Below are 19,152 nucleotides of genomic sequence, written 5' to 3' on the forward strand. Positions count from 1 at the left end.
TGTTTTAATGCTTGAGTAATACAGCAATTTCCCAAACCCTATAAACAGGCCTTAAGAACTAGAAACTCAGAAAATGCTGACTGACCTATCTATATAGTTCATTCTTTAAACATTTTTTTTAAATGTCCTACCTGATTCATCATTGAAAGAGGTAAAACTGATCAGCATTTGCACATTGACTTCACCGCAGCCATTTACCAAAAGCCTAAAATCTTCTGCCGTTAAATCTTCTAATGAATTTTTTGGAAGCACATCTAGTAGACCTTTCCTCATTGCCTAGAGAATTTCAGAAACAATAATACTTCATTTTCCATGTAACATTTATTTATATTATTAAAGCACAAGACATAATTTTAGCAGCCTTCTCTAACAATGCTAGTTCCCATTTTATGCCAGATAGCAAAAAAAATTCAGTCCTGTATTTTTTATTTCTTAGGATTCAAAAGAGAGAAAGGCAGGAAGTGGGGAGGGAAGGCATAGTGAATAAGCTATGGGTTCAATAGTGAAGTAGTATTATATCCCAGTGATTTAACAATTTTAAAAGTTTTGTTAATAACAAACAGGCTAGTCATTAAGAATAGCTTCAATCTTTAAAAAGTGCTACCCTGTCAGTATCTCAGGAAAGATAAATTGACAACAACAAACCTCCCAGACACAAACTCAAAAGCTAGATGCTTACTGAGAAATTATGATGTGCCAGGAATTGTCTTAGTACCTTACCTAATTCAATTTAATCTTATCCTCATTTTGCAGAGGAGGGAACCAAGGCACAAAAAACTTAACTTGGTAACATCATACAGCTAGAGGGTGGTAGAGCCATGATTTCAACTCTAACAGTATGACTCCAAAGCCTGCACAATTATTGTAGCACAGGGATCAGAAACACTCAACACCATCAGTCATAAAGCTATATAAACATTTTACAGGCTGGGTGTGGTGGCTCATGCCTGTAATCCCAGCACTTTGGGAGGCCAAGGTGGGCAGATCATGAGATCAAGACCCCGTCTCTACCAAAAATACAAAAATTAGCTGGGCATGCTGGCGCGCGCCTATAGTCCCAGCTACTCAGGAGGCTGAGACAGGAGAATCACTTGAACCCAGGAGGCGGAGGTTGCACTGAGCCAAGGTTGTGCCACTGCACTCCAGCCTGGTGACAGAGCAAGACACTGTCTTAAAAAAAAAAATATTTTTTTTTACCCTGGATGGGGAAGACATTAACATAGTAGGATTGATGTTACTCTTTACAAGGGCCTGACTAGTAGGGCTGGCATTGGCTGGTGTCTGAGAACTTGGTTTTTGCAATATTCCAACATTACTAACTGGTAAGGCTGTTTTGAATGTCTGGAGCAATGAACCATGCTGTATCAGACTGCCTGGACTATTTGTGCAAACAATGCAGTTCAAGATGAACATGTGCTTTCTTCAGGGATTCTGGAATTTCAGTAATCATGGCTGGTTGTGCAGATAGAAAATGCCCATGGAACTAGCTTCCAATAAAAACACTGAGCTCTGACTCTAAAGTGGGCTTCCCTAAGCACAAATAATGTATACATGTTGATACATTTCACTAGTGGAAGAAGTGTGTTCTTTGCAATAACTCATTCCCCTGCTTGAGACAGAACTTTGAAAGCCTGCACCTGGATTCCTCAAGACTCCGCCTAATGTTTGTTTCTTCCCCTGCTGATCTTGCTGTGGGTCCTTTTGCTACAATAAACAATAACTATTAAGTACAACTGCTTCTGAGTCCTGTTGAGTTCTTTTAGCAGGTTACCCAAAGTAGCTTTGGTAAATAAAACTAAAGCTGTTTGCAGTACCAAAATGATTGTTTTAGGGTCCTACCGCTAATACAGTAGGACAAAGGACTAAGATATATTATTTTATGCATACATTTTAAAATATAAAGACAATTCTTTATCTGACCAGAAGCTAAGTGATGGAAACATTTTGGTATAAAAAGCCTTTGTACCTCTCAGTCTGTCTCAATAACTCTACCACTAAAACAGTAGGACCCTAAAACAGTCATTTTGGTACCATAAGCACCCTTTCCACACTTTTGTTTGCCAAAGCTACTTTCTCACAATGACGTGGTTTTTCCAAGTAGTTTTATCAAAAAGAAAATGAGTACTTGGTCTGGATTCTTAAACTTAGGTGTAATTTACATTGTAAATAAATTCCTTTTGGTTTAAAAAATTTGTCCTTTTATAAATAAGCTGAATATACTTAGCTAGTTTACCACACATTAAGACACAAATAGCCTCATTGGATCACACAACACTTTCTAGAAACACTTACATGTAAGGGCTGTTCTGCAACTACCAACATTCTGTGTTCTGCGTATTTCCGCACATACTCATATACATTCTGTGGAGTGACTGGTATATTTACACCATTAGGAATGAGTTCAACCTGTGAAAAATTTACCAGTGCTATTTAAAGGCAATTTTGTCAAAGCAGTAAAACATTACTGTTTATAAAACTAGTTCCTAAAATTTTTAAATATAAACACAATTATTTATTTGACCAGAATCTAAGAGATGGAAACATTTTAGGCCAAAAAAAGGACAAGCCGCCAGGCGCAGTGGCTCACGCCTGTAATCCCAACACTTTGGGAGGCCAAGGTGGGTGGATCATGAGGTCAGGAGATCGAGACCATCCTGGCCAACATGGTGAAACCCCATCTCTACTAAAAATACAAAAATTAGGTGGGCGTGGTGGCGCGTACCTGTAATCCCAGCTACTGGGGAGGCTGAGGCAGGAGAATCGCTTGAACCAGGGAGTCAAGAGGTTGCAGTGAGCTGAGATTGTGCCACTACACTCCAGCCTGGCGACAGAGCAAGACTCCATCTCACACACACACACACACAAAAAGTACAAGCCCTTCTACCTCAGTCTGTCTCACTAACTCTTGATCCATCTTTAACACCGACAGTATCCATCTCTCCTATGTGTACACACACGTTCATCTCTTTCATTCCCTAACTAAACTGTCTATACATAAGACAAGCACAGCAGTTTAACCAAATTCTCTTGCCAGAATCAGAAAAGTGTATATTTGCTTTACCTGTCCTCCACCTTCTTCTTTACACAGGTCAATTGCAAATGCCAAATCCATTGCTGAGAAAACAGCATCAGCATCTGAACTCTGAGACGCGAGGATTAGTTGCCGCAAACTCTCATACATTACAGGATCAAAAAAAGCAAAATCATGCCAATTGACCTAAAAAAGTAATCATATGAAACTCAGTTATGAAAGAAACAGCATCTTCATTCAATTAATTAGTAAATTAAAATCTGATAAAGAATTTTATCTAATTTGAAGATACATTGATATAGAATAATTTCCCACTGGGTATATAACTATTTAAAGAGATAAGTTTAATAAATCTTTGGCTCTGACAATATTTGCTTTTCAAAGTATAAGAAGGGTTATATTTTGAAAAAATATAAAGCCAAAAGCATAATAGTTTTAAAGTTCCAAAACTGCAAAACTTTGCACTACTTATTAAACACCAATTATGGGGAGCAGCCGGCTCTGAACTTAATATACATCTTATTAATTCTTGATAGTAACATAAAATATAGATTATTAAATCCAGATGATAAATCTGACACTCAAGGAAATTTAGTAACTTGCCCCAAGGTCACTTTATTGGGTTAAACTTGGGTCTATTTAATTAGCTGTTTCCTAAACCCTGCTGAAGACTCAATATATCAACAATTTTATGTTGCCAAGCTTTGAGTCTAGTTCTTTAAATAAGAACATTTTAGCTGGAACACTTTAAGAATTTAATAGGGTCAGAGTTAAAAAGAAAAAATCATAATATGATATTCTTGTACTAATAGAAAATTATTCATCAGTAGGTCTGATTAAAGAGAATTATTAGGAGGCTACAGCTTTAACATGCTTATTTATCAGATGTGTGACATGTACCTCCGGAAAAAACTATAACATAAATCCTCAAAGCCATTGGCTGGATGTGGTGACTCACACAGAGGCCGAGCTGGGGGAATCACTTGAGGTCAGGAGTTTGAGAAAAGCCTGGCCAATATGGTGAAACTCCATCTCTACTAAAAATACAAAAATTAGCCGGGCATGGTTGTATGCGCCTGCAGTCCCAGCTACTTGGGAGGCTGACACAGGAGAATCACTTGAACCTGGGAGATGGAGGTTTACAGTGAGCCAAGATCACACCACTGCATTCCAGCACGGGCAATGGAGCGGGACTCCATCTCAAAAAAAAAAAAAATTAATTAATTAAAGCCGTTGATAGGTTCTTAGCTGTAACTTTGAAATGACAAACAGCAGGTTCTCAAATAACATCATTTCATTATAATGTTGATAAGAAAAAACTGGTTTCATTTCAATTAGAGTTGCAGTTTCCAAGAACCTATTGACGACAATAAGAACTTACTCAATCCCAGCTACTCGGGAGGCTAACTCATGAGAATCACTTAAACCTGGGAGGTGGAGGTTGCGGTAAGCCGAGATCGTGCCACTGCACTCCACCCTGGGTGACAGAGTGAGACTGTCTCAAAAAAAAAAAAGAAAAAAATAAAGGCACTTAGTCTATTCCATTTGTTTTGTGTCAAGTAATTTCTCTAAAATATTTTTAGGAACGTGGGTAGTTTTCTTTTAAATCAAAAGCTGCATAATTAGCATTGTATATTAATTTTAAAGCAAACGGTTTTTCTTTTCCCCCTGCCATCATAAAGGGAGGTGCAGGCTACCAAACTATCAAAACACATAAAGATAAGCTAATTCCATCATCCAGAGATCAATACTGAGCATGCTGTGTTGTACTTCTTACATTCTTTGGCCACCCCCATGTACCTCTTATAGGTATTTTTGAAGTTAGAATGCTCTATTTTTTTTTTGTTTTGTTTTATGAGATAGGGTCTTGCTCTGTCACCCAGGCTGGAGTGCAGTGGTGCAATCATGCCTCACTGAAGCCTCAAACTCCTGGGCTCAAGCAGATCCTCCTATCTCAGTCTCCCAAGTATAGCTGGGACCACAGGTGCATGCCACCACACGCAGTTAACTTTTAAAATTTTTGGTAGAGTCAGAGTCTCGTACGTTGTCCAGGCTGGTCTCAAACTCCTGGGATCAAGAGATGCTTCTGCCTTGGCCTCCCAAAGTGTTGGGATTACAGGTGTCAGGCATAAGCCACCGTGCCTGGCCTGGAAGGCTCTTTTCAATACCACTACCTTCTCTAACACCAGGTACAACTAATAATAGTGGATACAATTTACCAATCACTTACTATTTGCCAGGTACTTACGATGTTGTGTTTCTTACCAATTTATAAATGGGGAAACATGGCAGAAATGTCAGCATATTTGTTTGCAACAGGACGTAGGTCTGTCAGACCCCCCAGCCCCACTTGTGTTATCTACTCTGCTATGCCATCTCCCCATAGTCTTTTTCTGTCATTAATTTATTAATTTTATTTTTGTTGACCATAATTGTATAATTAAATGTTTTAAAGTTATTTATAATGGCTGTAATGCTTTAAGATTTAATAGTAAATGAATGTTATAAACAGTATGCTAGCGTTTGATTATTTTATAAAAGAAAATTTTTGCAATTGTGAATACAATTAGGTTCATCAAAATCACTTACTTTTCTACCAAGCAATACTTTAATTACATGTCTATTCAATGTGATAGGACATAGTTCATTCTGTAACAGACATAGTCCAAGAATCCTAAAAACAAACACAGAGAAATAAGATTTAAATAATTCTAGAATACATATATCCCCCCACACATAATACGTATTAATATTTTGAGAAATTCTCTACAGCCTCCTTTCTATTCAGCATAAAGTACAGCACATACACTTTTTCAAAAAACAAAACAAAACAAAAAAAAACAGGAACACCAGCCTGAGAATGTTTTGTTTTTGAGACAGGGTCTCACTCTGTCAACCCAGGCTGAAGTGCAGTGCCACAGTCAGGTCATCCTCCTACGCCAGCCTCCCAAGTAGCTGGGACTACAGGCATTGCAGCACAATGCCCGCTAGTATTTTTTTATTTTTAGTAAAGACAGGGTTTCGCCATGTTGCCCAGGCAGGTCTCCAACTCCTGGGCTCAAGTGATCCTCCCAGTTCAGTCTCCCAAAGTGCTGAGATTACAGGTGTGAGCCACCGCACCCAGCGTACATACATTTTAAAACAAATATATTTTAGAAAATCTCATAAATTGAAATGTTTTAAAAAATTCAAACCCAAGATTAAAGTTCTTTTACCTGCCAATGTTTCTGAAACAATTCAACCTTGCTTCTGTGTTCTTGCCAGGCCTTGGAGTATAAAATCCTCTTTTCCCAGGTTGGTAAAACAAAGGGGCATTGTCATCACCATCATCTGTATCATCTAAATCCATATCTACTACACTTCGACTAGAGCCATGGCGCTTTCGGTTTTCCTGCTAACAGAGAATATCAGAGAGTAAGCCCCAAGATTCACTGAAAAAACAAAACATATGAAATGGTTCTCTCAAATCATTCAAATGAAGTCAGGTAGGAAGAGCAACATAAATATTTAAATATATGTGTATAACAATATTAAAGGTAAATGAACTTTTAATTTGCCCTTTCAGAATGTGACACACAAAGCTTGTGTATTATTAGGTCTTTAACGTCTCTGTTGTTAAAATAAAGTCATTTAATGAAACTCGGATAAGCTTCTTTCACTTTATTGCCTGAAAATTCTTTTCACTGGATACAGAATTCTGTCATCACTTTGATGAGTTTGTTGACTTTTGGCTTTCATACTTTATAGTGAGAAATCCACTCTTTCAAATCACTGTTTCCCTATAGGTAAAGAACCATTCTTTGGCTGCTTTCAATAACATTTCTTTATTTTACAGAAGTTTGATTATAATGTATCTGGACATAGTTTTCTTTCAGTTTATTCTGTTGAGTTCACTGACTCTTGAATCTGGAAATCTATGTCTTTTACCAAATTTAGGAAGTGCCCAGCCATGATTTATTTCTTCAAATATTTTTTCTATAGCAATTTCTTCTCTTCCCCTGAGTATTTCAGTGACATATATGTTAGATCTTTTGAAGTTGTCCCACAGGTCTCCCTGAAACTGTCCTTTTGTTTTAAAATATTTTCTCTATCTGTTCTTCAGAAAGGGTAATTTCCATCTATCTTCAAGCTGACTGACACTTTCCTCCAACACCTTCATTCAGCTATTGATGCATCCTGTGAATTTTTTTCTTTTAGATATTGCCCTTTTAATTCTAAAAATTTCCCTTTGTTCTCTTTTGAAGTTCCTGTGTGTGTCTGCTGAGAACCTCTGTCTTTCCATTCACCAGTGTTCACCATTATCTTGCAGAACATGGGATAGTCTTTGATAATTCCAACAAGTGGGTCATCTCGTGGTTGCCATCTATTGGTTCTTTTCCTGAGAGAGGTGGATCCAGTTTTTCCTGGTTCTTTGTAGGCTGAGTAATTTTAGAGTGTATCCTGGGCATTGTGAATTAGTTGTGAAAACTCTGAGTCTTAGTAAATTAATATGAATTTAGTAGGCAATCAACCTACTTAGGTTCAAATTGGAAGTCTCACCTTCTATGTGCAATTGTTTCAATGCCAACTAAAAAGGCTTCCTTATGCTATAGCATGATATGTCACTTGTTTTTGCAATGTTGGCACCAGCTACTTCTTTGAAGAATGAGTCCCAGGAGTCCTAGAACTCCTGATCTCGTGATCTGCCCACCTCGGTCTCCCAAAGGGCTGGGATTACAGGCGTGAGCCACCACACCTGGTGAATTAGTCCTAGGATTCTATACATCTTTCCCTCTCTGTTCTTCAATTTGTTACTTATTCAAAGTAAAGCTTAATTCAAGCTGTGCTCAAATGGATGCCAACCAATGGGTGGGATTATACTGAGCCCTAATTAAGCCAAGCTTATTATTTGATTCTATGCATAATACCGATATATTTATCTTTGCTTCTGTCTCTCTACTGTAAACATTCATTTTATTTATAAAGACAGTTTCTTCAGAAATCCTGCTTTCATCCCCTTTATTGAAATTTCCTTGTAATTTAAATTCTGTGATTATCAGCACATGAATAAAATGTTCCTTACCTGTACCTTTTCTGAGGAGTCTACTAATCCAAGATCCAGGATACTATCAGCTCCATTTTCCCTAAAAACAAAAAGCCTTTCACATTCCAGATAACGGAGACTTCTAGAATTTAGCGTATAATTTAAATTTAAAAGGACTTACTTACAAAATACATTCAAGTTTTGGAGTCAATAAATATCCAATGCACCTGCTAGTACTAATGCAGTATGAGCAGAGAAGTTGGTAATACAAATCTTTAAAAAAGTGTATCACTAGATCCTTCATGTATGATTCAAGATAGTGGACTAAAGGCTCCCTGACAAAATGAATGTGGTCTTCATAGGGGTGCTGGAACACTTCTACAATGCTCAGAGGGAGCACTACAGAAGAACAGAAAAATGTTCAGAAAGCAATCCAAATTCACTAGCAAATTCTCTAGCGAATTTAATGATTCTAGAACACCAATAAATTCACTGTTTACTCCAGAAAGCCAGGTGAAAGCTGTCAATATTGTACATTGGTTGCATTCAACAGAAAACATGACTAAATACGCAACTCTTAACATATACTCACAAAAATCTTTTCACCAAAAATGTACATTGTTCTTGATTTTTCTATAATGGACTAAGCTATACCAGTATGCAGTAGCTCCAGAGACAGGGCAGAGGAATAAACGAACAGTACATAAAATCCAGAGAAGAAAAGAGCATCAGCAAAGAAAATACAGTTCTCTCAACAGTCTTTGGCTTGGACCATTAAAAGGCTCTAGAAGTGGCTGTTTAGCTCTAGTGCCCAGCCTACCAGCTTATACATCTCTAGGAGTGTATCTAATCTAAATTCCTAACTCATTAGGAAGAAAAAAATACAACTTTTCATCTAAAATAATAAACACTTCAAAGTTTCAAACTGGGTATCAGATTAGCCCCAGGATAGAAACTACAGCATAAATGTGACCTATCTTCCCTTTTTTTTTCTTTTTTTTTGAGACAGAGGCTCGCTCTGTCACATAGGCTGGAGTGCAGTGGCGCAATCTCAGCTCACTGCAACCTCTGTCTCCCGGGTTTAAGCAATTCTCCCTGCCTCAGCCTCTCGAGTAGCTGGGATTACAGGTGCTCACCACCACACCCAGCTTATTTATTTATTTACTTATTTATTTTTTGAGATGGAGTCTCGCTCTGTCGCCCAGGCTGGAGTGCAATGGCATGGTCTTGGCTCACTGCAAGCTCCACCCTCCTGGGTTCAAGCTATTCTCTTGCCTCAGCCTCCCGAGCAGCTAGGATTACAGGCGCCCACCATCATGCCTGGCTAATTTTTCTATTTTTCGTAGAGACGGGTTTCATCATGTTGGTCAGGCTGGTTTCGAATTCCTGACCTCGTGATCCACCCGCTTTGGCCTCCCAAAGTGCTGGGATCACAGGCATGAGCCACCGTGCCCAGCCACTTTTAACTTTTTTTTTAGTAGAGATACGGTTTCACCATGTTGGCTAGGCTGGTCTTGAACTCCTGACCTCAGGCAATCTGCCCGCCTCAGCCTCCCAAAGTGCTGGGATTACAGGTGAGAGCCACCGCACCCGGCCTTATCTTCCTAAGTCACTTTTACTTGTCACCTTGGAAAAAGGGATATGTAATCTGTTAGATATTTTTTAGATTTTATATTAAATTCATACTTTACAGAATAGAAAGCAAAAACTTCCATGAATTTTTAAGACAAATCAGGAAGCCTAAAAGAAATGTCATGGTTATGGCAAGAACACAGTATAATATGTATGGCCTTTGCCAGGAGGGTATTCTGATAAGTGAATTTGAGATGTACTTTCTTTCAAGTAATTTCCAAATAACCTTGGTAACTATTAAAACCCTACCTTTCTAATACATGAGAAGAAACTAAGCTGTCTCATTCATGGAATTTAAGCTATCATTTAAAAAATAAATAAAAATGCATTTAAAGTCTTATACTTTATGACATAAATTTTAAGATATGATGGCACCCACATACTGAAAGTAAGTAGCTGATGTTTAAACTGAAATGCCTTCCCAATTGTACACATTACCGTCCATGTGCAATAATGAGTTCCATGGCCTCATCCACTCTTGCTCTCAGAGAATCCTCACTTGCTAGAAGGAGAAGCAGCTGAGCTGGGGATAATTCCAACAACATGCCAGTGATTTTACTTGCAAATGCCTGTAAATGATGAACAAATGTTACTTGACTACTCTCTAAAACCTCTTGTCTAATTACATCTACAATCTTTTATTTAAAAAAAAAATAAAATAAGAAACTTGGGTAACAAATACAAAATTTCAGAACCAGTAAGGTCTTTTATGAAACTGGAAGATCAATTATAGAGAAACTTGGCAGGGAATAAACAGTCCATGCAGTACCACATCTTGTTAAGGCTACTTATAATATTTGTATGACAAGTTTTCTTTTTAGGTTTTTTTATATCTCTGAGTTAAACATACATATACTCAATTTCCATATTTTTTTCTTCATCAGAGAGCCAGAAATATCTTTTATTTAGGGTAGAAAAAAAGAAGGGGGTAGGGTAGAGAAAAATATACCTATGTTTAAGGCTGAGGACTTGCTGGAAGAAATAATAGTTTTCTGTTATTCTTTCACTATAAAATGTGTACATACAGTTATGCATAAAGACAAAAAACATAACTAATTTGTGTTTCATATCATATAAAGAAAAACTCTTGATAGAACATTCAAAATAAAATTCTTCCTGCAATACTAATCAGCATTAATGTGTTCCAACTACAGCTTGCTAACAGATAAAGTCTGCTCCAAAAGTAGTAATAATTTGTTCAAATGAAGATACAATAAATATAATGCACAGCAAATTCTTTAGCATGCAAGGAAGGTAGAATGGAGACAGTGTCCCAACATAAGGTGGGTGGAGGAAAAAATAAATTCAAGCTATACAGTTACCCTTCAGTAAACACTGCCTTATTCTCTCCTGAGCTTCCTTCTTACTGCAGAGCTAAAAAGAGTCCTCAATCATGTGGTTTTGCCAGTAGCTGACAATTTTTTTTAAACACCATCTTTAATTCAAAAGCAAAAAAATAACACAGCCAGTTAAGAGGTAACTAAGTACACAGTACACACTGGTTGCATTGCTTGTACACGAGGATAAAGCCTCTCTCCAAGTGCCTGCCGATGTGCTGGCAAAGGCTCAGGATCATCGCTAGGATTCCCTTCAGAGGCTGGTCTAAAGGGCCTAGTGTCGATGGAAAGCTGTCTTCTAAAGTCTCTGTAAGAGAAGGAAAACTATTATGACTTCATTTCCTTTGACTAACAAGTAAAAATATTAGCACAACTAGTAAAAAAGTTAGAAAACCAGAGCATATAGGTTGTTCAGTTATGGTACCTAGGTGGTAGAGTGCCAAAACAGATGATGGTTAGGAAATAAAGATTATCTAGATTTTGTTACTTAATTTAAAATTTTTATTGTAAGGGAGTAGGACCTTAACATACCAGATATCAAGAGTCCACACATAATTCTGGAAATTTTAGTCAAAAGTAAAATGCAATCCATCTTAACAAGAGAAAACTTCAAAGATTCTAAATAGCACAATCTGCCAAAATTAAATTTTTTTTTGCCAGACAGAATTTTGCTCGTTTCCCAGGCTGGAATGCAATGCAATGGCATAATCTCGGCTCACTGCAACCTCTGTCTCCCAGGCTCAAAGGATTCTCCTGCCTCAGCCTCCCAAGTAGCTGGGATTACAGGCATGCGCCACCACACCTGGCTAATTTTTTGTTTTTAGGAAAGACAGAGTTTCACCATGTTGGTCAGGCTGGTCTTGAACTCCTGAACTCAGATGATCCACCCACCTCGGCCTCCCAAAGTGCTGGAATTACAGGCGTGAGCCACCGCATGTGGCCTGAAAAATGAAGACTTTTTAAGATAAACTTAGGAGAGAATGATATGGGTAAAAAAATTCAAATAGGAACTTGAGTCAGATAAAAAGAATATAATTTCAACCGCCTCTGGGTTTTTAAAGCAGAACTTTTTATTAGTTAATAGACTATTCTTAGTTATTGTATTTTATTAACAGACTATTCTTAGTTACTATACATATGTTCAAAATTAAAACTTTACTTTTCTAAAAAATAATCCATAATTAAGATTCTTTCATTTACAGGCCTATCTCTAATTCATCCAAAAAGGTGGTATTGAATCAAAGATACAAAATTTACCTATCCCGGTCCCTCCGAGAACCTGCTCGCAAACCACTACTCCTCCTCATTTCCCTTTCTCTCTCCCTTTCCCGGTCTCTCTCTCCTCGGTTCCTTAATCTCTGCATTAAACCTAGAAGAAAATCAGAAATATACTGTATTTAGATGAATGCAAATTCAACTACCTTAAATTTCAAAGTCAATGCAAAGAAATGAGACAAATGTAAGAAAACATGACAGCTAAAGATTATCCTTCCCTAGCATCTGTGTTGTTAATGCCTTTCTCTCCCTATGGGTTTTCAGGGTTGGAGGTGATTGTGTAGAATATACCTGGCACGAAATAGATGTTCACTCAATATTTGTTAATCAATTTTCTCCCTTGTCATGTCAAAGCTGTGAAATAATATATAGCAAGTAAGGTTATGATAGTGTCACTATAAATAACGCTGAAATTTCTTACATGACTAGACTCATTTAAATATCCTCTGTTCTTAGTTTTTGGCATGAAAGCATTAAAGGCCACCAGAATATTACCTATTATTATTTTTAAATTCCTAAGCCCAAGCCAGAGTATGGTTTCCTATAAGTGTACAAAACAGATAGTTTGGAAATGTTAAGACTTCCCAGTTTCCTCATTCACATCTCCTAATTTCTTCTCATTATAACATTATAGAAAGTGAAATGGTGAAACTGATGAAAAGCTGAGGAACTCTCACCCATTTTTTCACCCTCAATCCTTTCTACAGCTCAGTCAGTCTCCATCCACCTACAAGTCTGATAATCTTCTGCTCCTACTTGATGTGAATCTCCTAAGGCTTTTGTAATTTTCACAAATTTTAAAATTTGATCCTTGTAATCTTAAAACTTAGCTAAGAGTCCTAACCCCAAAGTGTTGATCCTCAGTGGGGTAATAAGCTTGCACCAGGATTTTTTGTTTTAAGTCTTGCTAAACAGTGAGCTTAGTGACACAGTGGATTTGCATTTGGTTGTAAAGTCCTTATCTCACTGGGGACCAGGAGCAAGTTTGGAAATCATAATGTGAACAGCACTGCTCTTAGAATAGCATTTTCTTCTCAAATATCCCTGTGGGTTAAATATTGAAGTGGAGGAAATGCTGCAATTTGATCGGTGAATTTTTATATCACTATGTATTTTACAACCTCTTACCCACCCACAACATGTAACAATTGAGATGAAAAACTAGTACAATCACAAACATTTATCAAAATAAATGTGTCCGTAGAATAGCAAATTGTTGTCCATTAGAATAGTTTAAACAAGATTAAATCAATCTAGAATAAAAGTATGTAAAAATGCAAATTTATGCACTCACACATATAGAAACCATGATTACCACTGTTGGTTTGAGGAACAAGGAAAGAATTTTAAGCTGCTTGTTATTTGTAGAGTACTTACTTGTGTGGGTGCCTTTGTTGGCATTTTGGATACACTCTAGATTTGGCAATTTTTCATTTGATAAAAATGCTTGTGCAATGGCTGTATAAAAACTTCGTGCTACACCACTGCCCTCTCCTGGCTCATCCTTAAATGTGACTTTTACTCTGTGTACAGCCATTGGTGTAGTAGCACATCTTCGACCAAAGTGATTGTTAAGCTGCCTCATAGTCTGCTGAATGAGAAGATCTCGATCCCGATCAACCTATTAAAACACATCAAGAAGTCAAAAAGTAGTAAATTCAATGTTGGAAAGTAGCTTGAATTTTTCTATGTACAATCTGAAAATCTAGTTTTAGCCTTTCCTTGAGAGTTTAAAAAACAACAAAGTAATTGGAGTTCTCAGAAGCTTATCCATTACAAAATACAATACTTTAAAGCATACAAGAATGTCTTGCAAATTAAATCAGGACAACAGAATTTAATTCAATTCTAACACTTTCTTTCAAAGGTCTATTGGAAAACAATAATCTTGTTCAATTTTGGGATACACCAAAATACCAAATGATCAGAGATGTTAAAAAAAAAATACTAGAAAAAAAACAGATTCCTTGATGACAAGCTAAGTGGGCGGGAGGCTGGAGGGGGACTAACCAAACTGGAAAAATTGTTTGCACCTTTTGTCACAAAGATACATATTAATTAATGAGTGTGTCTATCACCTACAGCTACATAAAAAGCCTCTGAAATCTGAGAGAAAGCCAACTTAGAAAAATGGGCATATCAACTGAGTTAAATATAACTATCCTAACTATATGAAATAATGTTTAACTTTGCTCAAAATAAGATAAATTCAAATTAAAACTATACTGAGGTGCTATTTCTTACCTATTAGATTAGCAAAAATCTAGAAATTTAACAACTGCTGGCGAGACTGAGCAATCAGGCATTCTCACATTGATGGTGAAAATGCAAAATTATGCAACTGCTTATGCAGAAGTATTTGTCAATGTCTAGCAAAATTATATGCACATGCTCTTTGACCCAGCAATTCCATGTCTAAGAATCTATCTCAGGGACACACTAGCAAAAAAAAACACGAGGCCATTCATCACACTATCTGTAATAGCAAAAGACTGGAAACAAGCCCAAATACCTAGTCTGTAAGGGATTAGCTGCAAAAACTGCGATAACAACCATTAAAGTGCAGTACATTAAGCAGCTATAAAAGGAAGGTAGAACATCTCATATTTTCTCTGGGATATACTACTAAGTGAGAAAAGCAAGATGGAATAAAATGTATAGTATGTTTGGGGAGGTGGGAGGAGGTATGTAATTAATACATACATATGCTTATATGTTTTAAAAGGGAGGGAAGGAAATAAACTTGAAAAAATGGTAAAAGAGACAAGAATGGACTTATATCCATTCTTTTGTAGAGTTCACTCTGCCACACTGTAGATATTTTACATTGATTACAAAATAAAACCAAAAGAGGAAAAACGAATCCCTAAAATCTGAAAGCAAAATGAAACAAAAGGCCCTAATTATATAGAGCTGGTAGCAAAACCTACAAAGAAGAATTACTTCAAGTGACTTTAAAACAAACCTAATTTAACTGTGTATCTCTAACTGCATATGACCTAAGGACAAACATCCGCAAATAAATCTTCAATTATTTTGAATAATCATTTTGTTAGTGGTAGTGTTGATGTTATAATTCTTTGTAAGAGACAGAGTCTCTCACACTATGTTGCCCAGGCTGTCCTCGAATTCCTGGACTCAAACCATCCTTCCACCTCAGATTCCAGTGATGTAATTCTAAGACTGCTACTGTGTATGTTGTGGCATTAAAACAAATGAGTAATTTGATTAATGTTGTTGGGAAGTTGGCTATTCAGTTTGAAAGAAAGGAGATAAAGACTTAAGATCTAAGAAGCAAGGCCAGGTGTGGTGGCTCACACCTGTAATCCCAGCACTTTGGGAGGCCAAGGCAGGTGGATTACTTGAGGTCAGGAGTTTGAGACCAGCCTGGCCAACATGGTGAAACCCTGTCTCTATTAAAAATACAAAAATTAGCCAGGCATGGTGGCAGACACCTGTAATCCCAGCTACTCGGGAGGCTGAAGCAGTAGAGTCACCTGAACCCAGGAGGCGGAGGTTGCAGTGAGCCAAGATCATGCCACTATGCTCTGGCCAGGGCGACAAAGCAAGACTGTCTCCAAAAAAAAAAAAAAAAAGAAAGAAATCTAAGAAGCAAACATAACAAAAACAACCTTGTGGTCCTAAATCCTGAATTTGAATTGGGAGTATCAATATTAATTCATTATTTGATTTTTTAAAAAGAACAAAAAAAATGCATTCCCAAACTGTTATCAATTAAAAAGGCCTAGAAACCATGATCAACCCAGTAGCAATATGCAACCTTAGAGCACAGACTGTAATCTCATAACACAATTTCCTACTAAAAGGAATCAAAGCTACTTTAAGAAATGGCTGATTTAAGGTCTGTGACAGGAAATACCCAAGATGAAACATACCAGAAAGTAAGAAAGTTTATCAAAAATTATTGGGGCCATGTCAAAAGAACTCAGGAATCAAAACTGACTCAAGACTCCCATTAGCCAAAGAAGACACAATCTGAGCATCAATATGAATAATAATCTCAATGGAATTAAATACATCAAAAAAAGTTTAAATCAATGCATGCATAATGATACTTAAAAACTAAAACAAAAAAATTCATAGAGGATGCTAGGGAACCAAACTGCCAGAGAAAACTACTATTCTAAATTTGGTGGTTACAATAAGAAAAAAATAAAAAGAAACCACACACACACACACACACACACACGAAAAAATAAATTTGGTAGTTAACATTTCTTTTTATTTTCTTTAAATTTTTAATTATAAGTACATATCCCTAAGCAAAGCTATTGTTATTTTGCATGTTTTAAAATTTATATAAATAGCATACTACAGGTATAGTATAAGAAAATCTAAATACCTTTACCTCTAGTGACAAATCTCTTGACTGCTGGTTTCTCAGTTTTTCCATTTCTCTGCGGAATTTTGATTCTTTTACCTCAAAACCACCCAATTCAGTTAGGATCTTAAAAAAAAAAAAATGCATGACAGATTATTCCCTGAAATACATGCTTATCAGGCAGAATGGAATTTAAGGTGCACAAAATACATACTGATCCAGGTTCTGCTCCAACATCTTCCATGAATACCCTGCCGAACAGTTCTAAAGAAAGGCGCCAACGTCCTAGCAGCATATCATGGGAAATAACCATTCCCATAAAGCTACACTGTGGCCTGTAAGAAGTTTAAGGGAAGGGGTGGGGGGGAGAAATAATTTAGCCAATTTCAAAGACTGATTGGTTTTTGTTCAATGGTAGTAACTTACTTTTTTTAAAAAATATTCTGAGGTCTTAACTTCTTCAAACTGTGTCCTAACAGAGAACTTTTCCATAGCTACTTGTTCCCGACAACTTATTATTTTTCCTCCCTTATTCCTTCTGTATTCTACATACGGATAAATCCCTGGGCTATGTCTTATCTTCGTCTTTCATTTTACCTCCTCTCCTTAAAGTCCAATGTCTATCTCCATTTAGGTGACTCCCAGATCCACCTCTAGTTCAAACTTTCACCATGAACCAGAATCTCCATTTGTTAAATAAATATGTCCACGTCAACGATGCTCAATTCAAACTCAGCATGGTTAAAACTTAATATGGCTTCTTCACCACAATGACAGTTCTCCTGATTTTTTTTCAGTAGTAACATCTCTTTCCCTAATGCCCTGACTTAGACCAGATTTTAATTTTTCTTCCTCCTCTTCCTTCAAAGTGATCAAGTCCATCTTAAGTTTCTCTTCCTTTCCATGATGTCCTTTCTAAAGCCAACATTCTGCCTCAGCATCTTTCCCCCAACTAACTGAAACTATTAGTAATAACAAACAGCTTTTTAGCTGGCCTCCCTACCTCTAATTCTCTCCAGTCTGTTTCTGCACATTCTAACCATCTCAATTCAATCCATATTGCTTCTAGGAAGCTTGGGCCACTCAAGTCCACAATTCTCCCCTGTCTTACATCGTTATTAGACAACGTATATACAGTGTATCTTATTTTCAAACTAGCTTTTTAACTCCCATCTAAGCAAAAAAATTATTATGCCATGTAACCAAAAAACAGAGTCAACAAATCATACTGAGCCACAGTATATACTAACAAATATTTGTTAGATAAACAAAGAACCTACCTCTTGTAAGAGAATTACAAACTTGGAAAAGGAGCACAGATAAGTGTGAATCACAAATCTAGAAAGTTCTACTCTTTCTAGTTATTCAGTTTCCCCTTAGCTGAGCTGCTAATAGCAAGTCTATAAATGGTAACTAGACATGGATATATATTTTTAACGCTGTACTGAACAATAAAAACAAAGGGTCTTAGCAAATACCTGAAAGATGTGAGAGGTGGCCCTTCACTTTCAGTAAGTCCTATTTCTGCTAGTAAGCTACTTTTTAATTGTGCAGCAAGATCATGAGCAGATGGCCCTGGTTTTGAACTCTCAGTTTCTTCTGGCAGCACGGGCTGTTCTTCCCCTTCTTTTTTTTGCCGGTTTTGCATGTTCATTACATTTTTCAGATTGGCAGCATAAGACATTTTTGTTGGAAGAACCTATGAATATTTACATTTAAAAGTTACAAATGAAGGGAAAAAAACTAATTAGATTTTGTCCTCAACTTAGTAATACAGGAATCATACGCAAGTTTTTTTTCCCTTTCTGGAGCTTCAATGGTCCTTTTGTCTGATGGCCCTGGCTGACCACCAATTCCAACGCATTACCAAACCAACCTCAGATAACTACTTTTTTTTTTTTTTTAGACGGAGTCTTGCTCTGTTGCCCAGGCTGGAGTGTAGTGGCGTGGTCTTGGCTCACTGCAACCTCCATCTCCTGGGTTCAAGTGATTCTCCTGCCTCAGCCTCCCGAGTGGCTGGGATTACAGGCGCCCGCCACCACGTCCAGCTAATTTTTTGTAATTTTAGTAGAGATGGGGTTTGGCTATGTTGGCCAGTATGGTCTTGAACTCCTGACCTCAAGTGATCCACCCACCTCAGCCTCCCAAAGCGCTGGGATTACAGGCATAAGCCAGCACAACCAGCCTTACCCACCCCCCTCCTTTAAATTCACTTCTTGGCCTGAGCGCGGTGGCTCACGCCTGTAATCCTAGCACTCTGGGAGGCTGAAGTGGCTGGATCACTTGAGGTCAGGACTTGGAAACCAGCCTGGCCAACAAAGCGAAACCCTGTCTCTACTAAAACTACAAAATAATTACCCATGCGTGGTGGCGGGCACTTGTAATCCCAGCTACTTGGGAGACTGAGGCAGGAGAATCGCTTGAACCCAGGAGGAAGAGGTTGCAGTGAGCCGAGATTGTGCCACTGCACTCCAGCCTGGGTGACAGAGCGAGACTCTGTCTCAAAAAATAA

The 19,152-nt window shown here is 37.4% G+C and overlaps 1 protein-coding gene across 8 annotated transcripts in view; it reads right to left on the minus strand.

Moving 5' to 3' along the window:
- The window catches only part of UBR5 (ubiquitin protein ligase E3 component n-recognin 5), a 160,428-nt gene that overhangs the window by 6,581 nt on the left and 134,695 nt on the right, over positions 1–19,152 (minus strand). For 3 of the 8 annotated variants that reach the window (XM_024447179.2, XM_024447178.2, XM_005250962.6), the window contains 13 exons: positions 18,119–18,339; positions 16,855–16,975; positions 16,662–16,766; positions 13,676–13,919; positions 12,281–12,392; positions 11,186–11,330; positions 10,125–10,255; positions 8,094–8,154; positions 6,247–6,425; positions 5,621–5,705; positions 3,062–3,217; positions 2,293–2,406; positions 132–276 (listed from right to left, as the gene is read on the minus strand). In XM_024447179.2, coding sequence (XP_024302947.1) covers positions 132–276; positions 2,293–2,406; positions 3,062–3,217; positions 5,621–5,705; positions 6,247–6,425; positions 8,094–8,154; positions 10,125–10,255; positions 11,186–11,330; positions 12,281–12,392; positions 13,676–13,919; positions 16,662–16,766; positions 16,855–16,975; positions 18,119–18,339 — 1,819 coding nt within the window. The remainder of the gene's footprint in view (positions 1–131; positions 277–2,292; positions 2,407–3,061; positions 3,218–5,620; positions 5,706–6,246; positions 6,426–8,093; positions 8,155–10,124; positions 10,256–11,185; positions 11,331–12,280; positions 12,393–13,675; positions 13,920–16,661; positions 16,767–16,854; positions 16,976–18,118; positions 18,340–19,152) is intronic. The other 5 variants (NM_015902.6, XM_047421849.1, XM_047421848.1 and 2 more) reach the window with 3 other exon arrangements.

Source organism: Homo sapiens, chromosome 8 (genome assembly GCF_000001405.40).
Source record: "Homo sapiens chromosome 8, GRCh38.p14 Primary Assembly".
NCBI classification, from domain to species: domain Eukaryota; kingdom Metazoa; phylum Chordata; class Mammalia; order Primates; family Hominidae; genus Homo; species Homo sapiens.